The sequence below is a fragment of the Homo sapiens genome, chromosome 6 (genome assembly GCF_000001405.40).
Source record: "Homo sapiens chromosome 6, GRCh38.p14 Primary Assembly".
NCBI classification, from domain to species: domain Eukaryota; kingdom Metazoa; phylum Chordata; class Mammalia; order Primates; family Hominidae; genus Homo; species Homo sapiens.
Window position 1 is genome coordinate 152,335,748 of NC_000006.12, and position 14,207 is coordinate 152,349,954.

Genomic DNA, 14,207 nt, shown 5'->3' on the forward strand with positions numbered 1-14,207 from the left:
GGCATGATCATGGCTCACTGCAACCTCCGCCTCCCAAGTTCAAATGATTCTCGTGCCTCAGCCTCCCAAGTAGCTGAGATTATAGGCATGTGCCACGCAAGGCTAATTTTTGTATTTTTAATAGAGATGTGGTCTCACCATGTTGGCCAGCCTGGTCTCAAACTCCTGGCCTCAAGTGATCTGCCCACCTCAGCTTCCCAAAGTGCTGGGATTACAGGCATGAGCCACCACACCCGGCCACAATTTCCTATATATTTTAAATTATTTAAATTATATATAAATATGTAATACAAACTGCATTTATATTATACTTTAAATTAATTACATATAGCTCAAATATATAACTAATGAATTGATAAGCTTACAGTCCTACAGTTTTAGCATAATATGGTGATGAAAATCTAAAAAAAGAATAATGTTCCATGTTTGCTTAGTCACAGAGTTTTCTGACTAAGCAGTCTACTCTGTAGACTAAATCACACCTGCTTTTCTCAGGAATAATGTAGAGTATGAATGTCTTCTGATGAAAGTGGCCATCTGAAGCTTCAGTAATATATTTGAATGTCTACTTTATAATCTGTTTTCCCTGGCACCAAATGATGTTTGTTCAGATTTGCTATTCCTTAAAGCAGCGGTCCCCAAACTTTTTGGCACCTGGGATGGGTTTTGTGGAAAACAATTTTTCCGTGAATGGGGCTGGAGGGGGATGGTTTCAGGATGAAGCTGTTCCACCTCAAATCATCAGATATTAGTTAGATTATCATAAGGAGCATGCAACCTAGATCCCTTGCATGCGCAGTTCACAGTAGGGTTTGCACTCCTATGAGAATCTGATGTGGCCTCTGATCTGACAGGAGGTGGAGTTCAGGCATTAATGCTTGCTCGCCTCCCACTGTGCGGCCAGGTTCCTAACAGGACATGGACTTGTGCTTGTCCATAACCTGGGGCTTGGGGACCTCTGCCTTAAAGAGTTGTATTAATGTCTAAGGATTGACAGACACTCAGGCATATTGAAGTGAATACACTGAACACATTTCAGGTTTTCTACTCTGTTGGCCTCTTTTATCTCCCTTGGGGGCAAATTAATTCCCACCTTAACTTGTGAAACCATGTTCTGTGCAATGTTCAGCTCCAGCTCAGAGTGCCTCCTCTTCATGTTCTGCAGTTGCTGATCAGCATCTTGCAGGTAAATCCAGAGCTCAGACTTCAGGTGCTTGATCTCTTCCCAGCCCTGAGTTAAGTTCTGGGCCTGGACAAGCTTTTGTTCAATCTTGAGAAAACACAGAGATAAAAGTTAGCAACCATACATGGAAACATTTATGGTTAATGAATCAGAGATGGAACTTTCCAGCTGGCCTGTGCACTCATTTGACACACACATACACACGCAAACTCACACACACAAATACATAAATTTAAAAAGTACTTCTTTATTTGCTTCAGGAAAAGCAGATTTTTTTTAAAAAAATGTAGGGTTCCTAAAGACTTTAAATGTCTACAAGTTATGCTATATGGTTTTAATCAGTGTTGTGAAACTCTAATAATTTTTTTTTTTTTTTGAGACAGAGTTTCGCTCTTGTTGCCCAGGCTGGAGTGCAATGGCACGATCTCGGCTCACAGCAATCTCTGCCTCCCGGGTTCAAGTGATTCTCCTGCCTCAGCCTCCTGAGTAGCTGGGATTACAGGCTTGCGCCGTCACACCCAACTAATTTTGTATTTTTAGTAGAGACAGGGTTTCTCTACGTTGGTCAGGCTGGTCTCGAACTCCCAACCTCAGATAATACGCCCGCCTTGGCCTCCCAAAGTGCTGGGATTACAGGAGTGAGCCACTGCGCCCAGCGAAACTCTAATAAGTTTTATCAATGTATTAGGTCTAAAGCTGCTCTGATGGTTTTTCCCATTGGGCATTTCAGTAGATTCATCTGTATGACTCATGAATTTGGTGTTAAGGTTAACTAGAAAAGACTTCTGTTATTCTCTGTTGCACATTTGTTCATCTGTCTTACAACATGCTGAATTATTAATGTTTTGGATATGTCTTTGATCTGCTTCACTGGTTTTTGAAGCTGTGTAATTTGTTTCAATAAATCATTTCTGTAAAAATAAATGGGTTACATTGGCTGGGAATGGTGGCTCGTGTCTGTAATCCTAGCACTTTGGGAGGCCAAGTCAGGTGGATTGCCTGAGCTCAGGAATTCGAGACCCACCTGGGCAACACAGTGAAACCCTTTCTCTACTAAAATACCAAAAAGTAGCCAGGCATGGTGGTGTGTGCCTGTAGTCCCAGCTACTCGGGAGGTTGAGGCACAAGAATTGCTTGAATGTGGGAGGCGGAGGTTGCAGTGAGCCAAAATTGCGCCACTGTGCTCCGGCCTGGGAAACAGAGTGAGACTCTTTCTCCAAAATAAAATAAAATAAAATAAATGGGTTACATCGTCTTTTGTAAGGATTTAAAAACAGATTTGATAATATTAAAGAGAAAAACCTTATTATTTTGACATTTTTTTCCTGTGAATCATTTTACTGTTCTGTGAATATTTAATAAATTAAATACCAAAACTAAGTCTTATTTTTCTTTTAAACTCAAGTGTGGGCCAGGCGTGGTGGCTCATGCCTGTAATCCCAGCACTTTGGTAGGCCAAGGAGGGAGGATTGCTTGAGCCCAGGAGTTCGAGACCAGCCTGGGAAACACAGCGAAGCCCTGTCTCTACAAAAAGTATAAAAATTAGCTGGGTGTGATGGTGTGTGCCTATAGTCCCAGCTATTGGGAGGCGGAGGTGGGAGGATCACCTGAGCCCAGGAGGTTGAGGCTTCAGTCAGTGATGATAACGCCACTGCACTCCAGACTGGTTGGCAGAGTGTCTCAAAATAAAGAAACAAACAAACAAACAAACGAGCAAACAAACCCAAATGTGTTTCATGGAAGAGTTTAAGGCTGCAGTGGCAGCAGCCGGGAAAATACGCCTCCAGTGCTGCCATCTGTCTGTGTGGGCCGGTACTGCTAGCTCATCATAGCCCAGACAGTTTCAAAATCCTTCTGAACACCACACTTTACCAATGAACTAGAAGGATTGTGACAGATGGCATGCTCTTTGACATCCTTGATATAATAAAGAAAGGGTCAAGAGCCCCTTTCATATTAAGTATTGCCTAAAGAAAAAGGTGGAAAAGGAGAAAAGAACAAAAAAAGGTGTGGCAAGATAGGAAAATTGAGAGAATGGTCATTAAGGAGGAGAAAAAAGAAAGGTTCTAATGGGCAGCGAATGAATGGGACTAAGTGATTCAGTCCCAATCTGATGTCATCAATGTCAGGATGTGCTTAATTTTCTATGAGTTAGCTGAAATTCAAATATCTATTTATTATAATGGCTGTAGAACCATTACATACAGCAAGAACAAGCCAAGAGCTATTTTCTTTCAATCTCACATGAAACATTCAAGCAAGAGAATATAATAAAACAAACAAATTCAATGTGATTTTTCATTTTCTTACCGTTTGCTCTGTTTGTTGAATGTCTTTTGCTGTGGTTTTCACCGAAGCATTTGACAGGTCACACATGGAGCAAAGGAGATCTAGGTAGGTCCTTGCCTGCTCTTGCAAAGCTCTGAAGTGTTTGACCTGGAAAAGGCAGTTATCAGAGTGAAAGAGATGCATCAGCTATTTAGATAGCAAATACTTGTATCATTTGGAATATTCTGTTGACATTTCAAAAATAGTCTTGCTATGCTCAGTGTTTTCACCATTGTGTTCAAGTGACATATATTAGTGACTCACAGGAAAAAATTTAAATCACCAATGGGGATTTATTTGTCCACCATTTGCTTCTCCTTGTAAGTAAAGTATTCTGTATGGTCTGGGAAAGGGGAAAACGCAAGAAACTTCTATAATCTTTCCAGATTATTTGCTCACATGCCAGCTTATTTTCCATTCCAGAGAAAGAATTTGTAGCCTACGCTGTCCTGCCTCTTAACATGCTTTTGCATATCTTAGAGACAGAAGGCAAAGGTCCGTGAGTTGGTAGGTTTCATTGGAGTGAGGTTAAAACACAGATGTCTGGGCTTCTTTACTTTGCAGGAGATTCATCTTGTATTATTCTCTTTCCACAAGCCCAAGAAAGGCTTCTCCAGGTGGATCTTTAATCTATTTATAGAAACAAAGAAATGTGTTTCTTTGCAGATGCGCAGATTCTACTCAGGCTCCATTTTAGATACTGGGCATAGAGCAGCCCATAAAGCAAAACCCTTGCTCCCAGGGAGTTGACATTCTTAGGAAGGAGATAAATAATATATAAATAAACAAACTTGCACTGGGATGTTTAGTAGTTTTAAATATCATGTGGGAAAATCAAGGTGCTAAGCAGATAGCGTATGAGGAAGAAGGACTGCCACTTCAGGGACAGTGTATCTCCCAGGCCCCTCTGAGGAAACGACCTGAATGCATGGCATGGCATAAGGTAAGAACATTCCAGGCAGGTGGATGTGGTGGGTAGAGAGACAGCAAATGCAAAGCCCTGAGGCTGGAGCAGAGTGAATCAGGTGTGAGCAGAGGTCGGAGGGTGGGCGGGGGCAAGTCATGGAGCCCCTTACAAGGAGAGCTGACCATACATCCCAATTTGCTGGGTTTTGTCTCTAGTCTAGAGTTTCTCAACTCAGAACTATTGACAGTTGACTCCAAATAATTCTTTGTTGTGGGGCTGACTTATAGCTTGCTAGAACGTCAGCAGCATCCTTCGCGTCTACCCACTTAATGCCAGCAGTGTCCCCACCACTCCCAGTTGTAACAACCAACAACGTGTTCAGACAGTGCCAAATGTCCCTTGTAGGAGCAAAGTCACCATCTCCTCCACCCCAGTTGTGAACCACTGCGCTAGTCCCATTGGATTATGTAAAGCAGACTCTGTCTTATCAAGAAGGTTCCATTTGAGAAAACAAATTCTATAATCAGCCTGTTCATAAGCCGTGGTAAGAAAGTTGGAATTTAAGTGTGATGGGAAAATATCGGGAGCATCATGATCTGAAACAGGCTTTCAAAGACTCCCTCCGAACATCACGTGGAGAACGGCTTGCCACAGGGGTGGCAGGCAGCTATGGTGTCCAGGTGTTAGGCTACTGCAGGGATCAGATGAACCATGAAGATGGCCTGACAGGGGGTGGTGGCTGAGGTAGTAAGAAGTGGTTCTTGATTACTACATAAATAGGGATAAATAAGGAAGGCAGTATTGACTACAAGTTGCAGGGATAAAGTTGACTTCCAGGATTTTCCCAAATCATAGAGTCAATCATGGTGCCTGATTTTGTGACTCCAATCTGAGTATTTTTCCTCTGCACTGTGTGGATTACCTAGACATGCTGTGTTCCTGTGGATATAATAAACACAGATCAATTTCCCATTAAGTCAGGAGTAGCACCTTTTCAATTGAATGTACAAGCGAACTATGGTATTGTGAGTCATCAGCCACTGTGCACAAGTACCACATCATGCACCTATGACCCAGAGAAAGTTATTTGTCTCAAACAACTTTTGGATATGAGAAGAGAATAAGTTGTCAGAATTTGTATTTTATGAACATATTTAATTGAAAGGAATGATGGTATGATTTATATAGTTGATCTGATTCCGAAAGCACTGGAAGCAGCATATAGAGTGTTAGTGACCACACAGCTGCAAACGATGTTTGCTAAAATCAACTTTACAGAAAAATCTTATAGTACTTTTTCCCATTCCCTAAAGTTCACATTTTATGCCTTCTAAAAACATATAGCACTCTGAACGGAATCGAATCCATGTGCCATTTTCTTGTGGCAGCGGGGAGTGTATTATCTTCACATATGTATTGAGGGTTTATTGGGTTTACTAGACGGGTGGTGTTGGGGATACACACTGCATCTTGGTACCATGCCCATTGTAAGCGGATTCTCCAGTCACATATCCAAGCTCACCAGCCACTAAGGGCCTGGTCAATTTTACATGAACACAGTAAGTCCTCATTTAATGTCGTCAGCAGATTCTTGGAAACCGTGACTTCTTTAAGCAGGAAGTTGTATAATGAAACAACTTTTGTTCTCATCAATGCTATAACAAAGCTGCATATTGAAGGACATGACATTATTTGAGGACCTGCTGTACATGGTTTTGCTTACAGTTTCAGTTTCTAAGACCTACCGATGGAATTAAGTGAGGACTTATTGCACTTGCCAAGGGAAAAACTAAAACAAAAGAAATAACAACAAAAAATAAAAAATAAAAAAAGGGAACAAAATAAAAAACCTTTCCTCCTCAGAGTGACTGTAGTCCAAGTGTCTCCACCACCTCGAACTCCCTTCTCTGGCTACTTCCAAAGACCATTTTGAGAGACATGTGAAAGAGGCAGAAACAAGGAACCATACAGTCACGTAATCTGGAAGAAGGATCAGTATCCTCCTGTGACCACGGCTTACTCTGGTATGTGTAGGAAATCTCTTCCTGCTCTAGCAAAACATCACTGCCATTAATACTTTCTTCTCCCTTTATCTCTTTTATTTCTTTTTTGGTAACAGAGGAGAAAGATTAAGTGTTGGTCTGAATTGTTCTGAATAAAGTGCATTGGAAACAAACAGCCACAAGACAAGGTGGCTTGTGGGTCAAGGAAACTCACAGTCTAATAAAAAAGTAGAATATAGGCAGTCTTTAATTCATTTTTCTTGATTCAAGGAGAACTATGTTTCATTTGTCCTGATTCTATTCTTATAAAGTAAAATATGAACACTTTTGTGAACCATTGAATGACAATGTAAATCATTTTAGCCTTTAGAAAGTATACTTCGGGGGACAAATTAACTAGACACATTCTTTATGTGGACTCAGTGATCAAATACATTATGCTATTCTAATTTGTGCTAAAAAATTAAATTATTAAATACTGTTAATTCGTATCTGGCAGCAATAACCTTTATAACTAAATTCCTCTAAAATATTTTCCCACGGAGTCAACACTGCATACAAAAGCTGCTTAGTACAAAAGTTTAAAAAAAATATTTCCCACATATTCTGATTAAGTCTCAGCAATAACATTTTCAGCATGTGGATGTCAAATTAATATGGAATAGAATTCCCTTCACATGATAAAAACTAACATTTCATTCATCATCCATTCAATAATTATCTATGAAGCACCTTGTTTTTGCCCCAAAACTATGCAAGAAGCTAGTATTACTTTTCTGTTTATAAATCACGTTTATCTGTAGTGTGATATTTGCATTTCATTATAACTTTTAGAAGTAAGTATACTTATAAATGTCACTTTTGATAGTAGGAAACTATCTCGAAGGCTTGGAGAAATTAAGCGACTTACCCATGGTCCCCCAACAGAATAAATATTAGAATTAATCTTTGGTTACAGTGCCCATTCTCTTTCTTTCGTTTTCTTTTCTTTTTTTTTTTTTTGAGACAGAGTCTCACTCTGGTGCCCAGGCTGGAGTGCAGTGGCGCAATCTTGGCTCACTGCAACCTCCGCCTCCACCTCCCAGGTTCAAGCAATTTTCGTGCTTCAGCTTCCTGAATAGCTAGGATTACAGGCGCCTGCCACCATGCCCAGCTAATTTGTGTATTTTTAGTAGAGATGAGGTTTCACCATGTTGGCCAGGATGGTCTTGCACTCTTGAAACTGTGTGGTCGGCCCGCCTTGGCCTCTCAAAGTGTTGGGATTACAGGCATGAGCCACTATGCCCGGCCCCATTCTCTTTCTTTTTTTTTTTTCTTTTTAATAGTTTATTTTCATTATTCTTTTATTTTATTTTTTATTTTTATTTTTTAATTTTTCAAGACAGAGTCTTGTTCTGTCACCAAAGCTGGAGTGCAGTGGCATGATCTCGGCTCACTGCAACCTCTGCCTCCCAGGTTCAAGCGATTCTCCTGCCTCAGCCTCCTCAGCCTCAGGCGGGTAGGTACCCTGCTACCTCAATCCCAGGGTAGCTGGGATTACAGGTGCACGTCACCATGCCCAGCTAATGTTTATATTTTTAGTAGAGATGGGGTTTCACCATGTTGGCCAGGCTGGTCTCGAGCTCCTGGCCTCAAGTGATTCGCCCGTTTTGGCCTCCCAAAGTGCTGGGATTGCAGGCATGAGCCACTACGCCTGGCCCCATTCTCTTTCTAGTCTACCAAGTTGGCCCCTCAGTATCATGTCCATCTTCTGGCTGGCACATGAACTCCACTAGAGCCAACCTCAGACCTTCTTCCTACTTTTAGATTCCCAGGAGTCAATACAGTTTGGCACATCATAGGTACTTCACACATTTTCACTGACGCTCTGAATGATTCACAAGAATAACACAAACTTTCAGGAGTTTACTACCTGCTTAATGGCTTCTGCCCTACTAAGAGGTGGTTGAGGACTTGGCTCTAAATCCGGCTGGACTGCAGAAAGCCAGGCCTGGCACTGCTGCAGGGTGTCTTGTCGGCTGACGTGCTTCTGAAGTTCGTGTTCCAAACTCTGGTACATCTGAGACAATACAATCATGCTGAGATTATGAGAACTGCTTTCTACCTCTATAAAGATCATTCAAATTCAATGAAACATGACCAGTACATCTAAATGGATTTTCCCCCCAAGATTCTGCAATTTCATCTAATATCTAAGGCAGTTGTATGTCTCCCCAGATGTTGCAAAATGCAATGCCTATACCCCAGTTGATAACTTCTCGGACCACACATCACAGTGTAATATCCGGATTAGGGGAAGAGAACATGAGCAGGGTAAATATAACCGTAGAGGCATGCTAGAATACATAAAATCATTGAAGTTAATTGTCATAAACATAAGTCAGAGGTTTTTGCAGCTTCTCTTCCTATGGTATAAATATTGCACTTTTTGTTTAAGCTAGCAACTAAAAGTAAAAATAAAAAATGATCTCAAAAAAAGATAACCAATGTTTCTCTAACTGAGATGCTTCTGCAATAGAGATAGGGTAAAATTTGAACTAAATTATAACATGAGGAGTGGAGAGGTGGATGTCCTCACTTCATCTTAGAAGTTATGTTCCAGGGCAAAAATAATCCAGAATAATTCATACATTTTCTGATATGTCTATTTAATTAATTAATCCTTAACAAGCCAACCAATTTTCATTTTATCCATAAGACATATTAAGAAAAATTATGTGTCTATTTGAGATCAAGAGAAAATATATCTGGGATGTTTCCATTTAGGAAAAAGGAAAAAAGAAGGAAATTAGTTTAACCTGGCATTTCTTTCATTATTGAGACAATAGAAGCAATCATTGAATTCTGCTTTTCTCTGTCATCTTTTAAATTCATCACTTTCGTCTGACATTGGGTTTATCCCTTATTTATTCTTATTCCAAGCAGAATTTTTAAAAGAATGGTGTTTTGTTCTCTTTATCACTTTTGCAAACTTTAATTATGAAGTTCTGATTATGTTCTTAGAATTTCATCCACTTTTTAAATTTTAAAAATTATGTTGGCTTTTCCAACATCCACCAATTAAAACAAATTAAACTGTATCCCTAATACAAAGAAAATGTCCACTGTGAAGGAAGACAGTGTGCAAGAAATCTCTGTTGAATGAGTGAACGAATGAACTCACCAGAAAGTTCTATGTGTAGCCTCATTTTCTCTCTTCACTCCCCCTTTTCTCCCCTTGTCATCATTTTCAATTATTTATTAGATTCTTGTAGTCCTCTTTTGTTAACCTTTGAAGGTGATTTTTTTTTAAGTCTAGGAAGTTGACTAATGTCACCCAGAATTTTTTTTATTATTATGGTGAACACGGACCATTCTAACCACATCACTGATGTATCACCAGTTCTTTTTGTTAACCTTTGAAGGTGAATTTTTTTTTTTAAGTCTAGGAAGTTACTAATGTCACTCAGAATTTTTTTTATTATTATGGTGAACATGGACCACTCTAACCACGTCACTGGTATATCATCAGTTCTTACTGGCTAGTCCAGTAAACAAAAATACACAGAATACTAAGTTTAAAGGCTTATAAAAACTCTTTTTAGTGTCATTTAAAAATTCTAGAATAATAGAAAGCAATTTACCTATTTTAGTAAGTTTTTGTTAAAATAGCCATTCTTACCCCTCTTACACTTATTTCTAAAACATTAAGAATTCTGTTTTAGTGGAAGTACACCCACTTAAGTGTAAGTCATATTTGTCAGTTACTCGTTTCTCAAATTCTATATGAATGCAAACAAATATTGATTTAGATTAGAACCCAGGCTGCATACAGTTAAAAAGAAAATAATTATTGTGAAAAATATGAAATAAATTTACTTTTGTGCTACAAAATAAATGGAAAATTAGAAAGTATTGATCGTGTGCAAAGAAAAACACATCCTCTATTCAAACACATCAACTATTTTTTTCTTTTTTAAATTTCCTCAAATTCCTTTTACCAACAAACAAATTAACTTTATTTATTTATTTTTATTTAGACGGAGTCTCACTTTGTCCCCCAGGCTGGAGTGCAGTGGCGCGATCTCGGCTCACTGCAATCTCTGCCTCCCACGTTCAAGCGATTCTGCTGCCTCAGCCTCCGGAGTAGCGGGGATTACAGGTGCTTGCCACCACGCCCAGGTAATTTTTGTATTTTTAGTGAAGACGGGGTTTCACCATGTTGGCCAGGCTGGTCTCAAGCTCCTGACCTCAAGTGATTCACCTGCTTTGGCCTCCCAAAGTGCTGGGATTATAGGCTTGAGCCACCATGCCCGGCCCAAATCAACTTTTAACAAACCTTTTCACAATCAACTCATGGAATAAACAAATTGGATAAAACAATATCTGAAATTCGCTCACACCTGTAATCCCAGCACGTTGGGAGGCAGAGGTGGGCGGATCACGAGGTCAGGAGATCGAAACCATCCTGGCTAACACGGTGAAACCCCGTCTCTACTAAAAATACAAAAAATTAGCCAGGCGTGGTGGCGGGCGCCTGTAGTCCCAGCTACTCGGGAGGCTGAAGTAGGAGAATGGCGTGAACCTGGGAGGCGGAGCTTGCAGTGAGCCGAGATCGCGCCACTGCACTCCAGCCTGTGCGACAGAGTGAGACTCCGTCTCAAACAAAACAAAACAAAACAAAAAAACCAATATCTGAAATTCACTGCTTAGTCACATCAATCAAATACAAAATATGTTAGTTTTGTGTTCACATAGCAACTGTGAAATTTATCCTCGTATTTCCTGTCTGGCAACACACCAAAACGAATCCAAAGATTTGAGCATCGATTCTATTTGTAAAAAGTCTCTAGACTGCACAGCCTCTCCCCATAATTCCTTGTCACTGTGGAATGTTCTGGGGGCACTCACCCTCTGAGCTGTGCTGCAGATCGCTGAGTAGCTGTCCTTTGTGCCCTGCAGATGAGCATGCACGTTTTGTTTAAGTTTCGCTTGCAGGTGGTCTGCACATTGGCCAATCAAAGTATCACCTTTCATTTGAAGATTGTTCAAACGGTCTTCAAAACCAGCAATTTCTTCCATCATTGCCTGCAAAAGTGAAACCAATACAGAGTTTTCAGAATTCTACTTTTAAGTAACTTATCCATCAAAGTTTAAGATAGATTATTTCACTGTTTAATATTGTTTTTGAAAGAATCTTGCAATTTACCTTAGTTATATATTAAATGAAAACAAAAGCACATGTATGTTTTCAGGGATACTCCAAGAGGAAGAGTCAATGAGTTTAAGAGATTAGTTACATAAGGAATGATGAAGTAACCTTTAACACTAGAATGTGTTCATGGCTGGTCTCAGAGAGATAATACTCCATGGTATTATTACCAGACAAAAAGATGTCCCTATATTTTTCAGGTTAATAAGTTATAATTCTGGCATAATTTTTATCTAAAACAATCTAATTACTATTTCATCAACTTTATATAATATCTTATTTCTATAAGGTTGGTGCAAAAGTAGTTGTGTTTTTTGTCATTCTTTTTTTTTTTTTTTTAAGACAGAGTGTCACTCTGCTGCCCAGGCTGGAGTGCAGTGGCGCAATTTCAGCTTACTGCAACCTCCACCTCCCAGGTTCTAGCAATTCTCCTGCCTCAGCCTCCTGAGTAGGTGGGATCACAGGTGCCCACCACCACACCTGGCTAATTTTTTTTTTTTTTTGTATTTTTAGTAGAGATGGAGTTTTACCATGTTGGCCAGCTGGTCTTGAACTCCTGACCTCAAGTGATCTGCTGGCCTCGGCCTCCCAAAGTGCTTGGATTACAAGTGTGAGCCACCACGCCCGGCCTGTTATTACTTTTAATGGCAAAAACTGCAATTACTTTTGCACGAATATAATAATCTAATTCTAGTTTCTGTAATAATGTAATATCTAATTTTTAATTCTTGTAATATCTAACTTACATCTACTACTGTTTATAATAATGAAAATAGCATTTAAACTTATCATTTATTAAGTACCTGCTATAGTCCAGGAATTATATATAAGCCTGACGAATGTGTATTATCATTGTTTTATAGATGAGGAAACTGAATCACAGTGAGGTTGTACAACACAGTCAAGGTATGGCACAGCCCCCAGGCTTTAGACACAGCTCGGCCTGATTTCACCTCACACCACCATGTCCACTTGCATTCTTTAGTGAGCATTCTTATAGATGACTCAGGGAAGAATAACTTATTTTTTAAAAATCACGTTCTGGCCAGACGCGGTGGCTCACGCCTGTAATCCCAGCATTTTGGGAGGCTGAGACTGGTGGATCACCTGAGGTCAGGAGTTAGAGACCAGCCTGGCCAACATGGTGTAACCCTGTCTCTACTAAAAATACAAAAGTTAGTCGGGCATGGTGGAGGGCACCTATAATCTCAGCTACTTGGGAGGCTGAGGCAGAAGAATCGCTTGAACCCAGGAGGCAGAGGTTACAGTGAGCTGAGGTTGCACCATTGCACTCCAGCCTGGGCAACAAGAGCAAAACTCTGTCTCAAAAAAATAAAATAAAATAAAAATAAATAAATACATAAATAAATAAAATCAAGTTCTAGTGTTTTTTTTTTTTCCTGTTATATGATGCTAATGACAAGTGACACAATCCAACATAGGGTAGCCTGGGTAACCCATCATTATATCTATAGGAAACCTGGGTGGCCCTTCAGCAGTCCAGGGTCTACAAACAGCGCTGGGCTAGCAGTTATCATATATGCTCAGTTGAAAAGAACCACTCTGTCTCTGAGTTGGAACAGAACCACTCCATCATGAGGCCATTCATGGGGTAGACTACCTTCTGGATTGTCATCTCCTCAGTGCCTACCAGAAGGTATTGTGTAGCTACTTTTTTATTCATATTTGTTAAATAAAATCCTTTCTTATAGACAGAAATGTTGCAGCCCAGAGGGGCTAACTGGCTTTCCTAAGACGCACTGTCAGACACTGACCACATGATGAGTAAACTTGTTTTCCATTAAGATCACAAATCAGTTGCTCCATGAAATTGTGACCATAACGTCTATCACGTGGTAAACACGATTACTAAAAATACATATTATTAAGTTCTTATCTTGATAGATTTAAATAGTGCTTTTAGCCTATCACCTATATCAAAGATAAGAACTCCTCATATTAGTTTTGTACTTTGTGATTTACAAAATGTCTTCACAAATATTATCTCCTGTGATTAGCACAACAATTATGAGATGGGCTGGTATTGTTATCATCCTAAAGGAGAAAGGACAGACTCAGATAGGCTAAGTTGTCTCTCCAGGAAGGGGAAGAGTCCAGCCTAGAATCCAGACTTTCTGATGCCTTTGGCTGCATTTTCTAAAATAGATTCCATAAAGACTAAATTCTGAGATAAAAATTATTAGCTGGGGGAAATGCAGCAATGTGTTCAGAAGTTCAACGCGAGGATTCAACTCTTCTTGATTCACTTGAATATCAAGTTCAATTGTTGTCAATTGTCAGAAGTGCTTGAGACTCAGACCTTCATATGGTTTGGCTGTCTCCCCACCCAAATCTCATCTTGAATTCCTACGTGTTGTAGAAGGGACCTGGTAGGAGATAACTGAATCATGGGGACAGCTCTTTCCTGTGCTGTTCTCATGATAGCAAATAAGTCTCATGAGATCTGATGGTTTTAAAAAGGGGAGTTTCCCTGGAAATGCTCTCTTCTGTTGTCTGCTGCCATGTGAGATGTGCCTTAACCTTTCACTGTGATTTTGAGGCCTCCCCAGCCACAAGGAACTGTAAGTCCAACAA

At 39.9% G+C, this 14,207-nt stretch overlaps 1 protein-coding gene across 49 annotated transcripts in view, besides 1 other annotated feature; it reads right to left on the bottom strand.

Annotated features, from left to right (window-relative positions):
* The window catches only part of SYNE1 (spectrin repeat containing nuclear envelope protein 1), a 515,676-nt gene that overhangs the window by 214,061 nt on the left and 287,408 nt on the right, over positions 1 to 14,207 (bottom strand). For all 49 annotated transcript variants that reach the window (XM_047418508.1, XM_017010610.2, XM_017010609.2 and 46 more), the window contains 4 exons: positions 11,312 to 11,488; positions 8,334 to 8,480; positions 3,494 to 3,619; positions 1,094 to 1,270 (listed from right to left, as the gene is read on the bottom strand). In XM_047418508.1, the coding sequence (XP_047274464.1) occupies positions 1,094 to 1,270; positions 3,494 to 3,619; positions 8,334 to 8,480; positions 11,312 to 11,488 (627 nt within the window). The remainder of the gene's footprint in view (positions 1 to 1,093; positions 1,271 to 3,493; positions 3,620 to 8,333; positions 8,481 to 11,311; positions 11,489 to 14,207) is intronic.
* Positions 2,880 to 3,009: a silencer, noted in NCBI's record as "silent region_17690". NCBI's record gives its function as "represses an Ori minimal core promoter by ATAC-STARR-seq in GM12878 lymphoblastoid cells {active_cell/tissue: GM12878}" and the evidence as "EXISTENCE:reporter gene assay evidence [ECO:0000049][PMID:35858748]".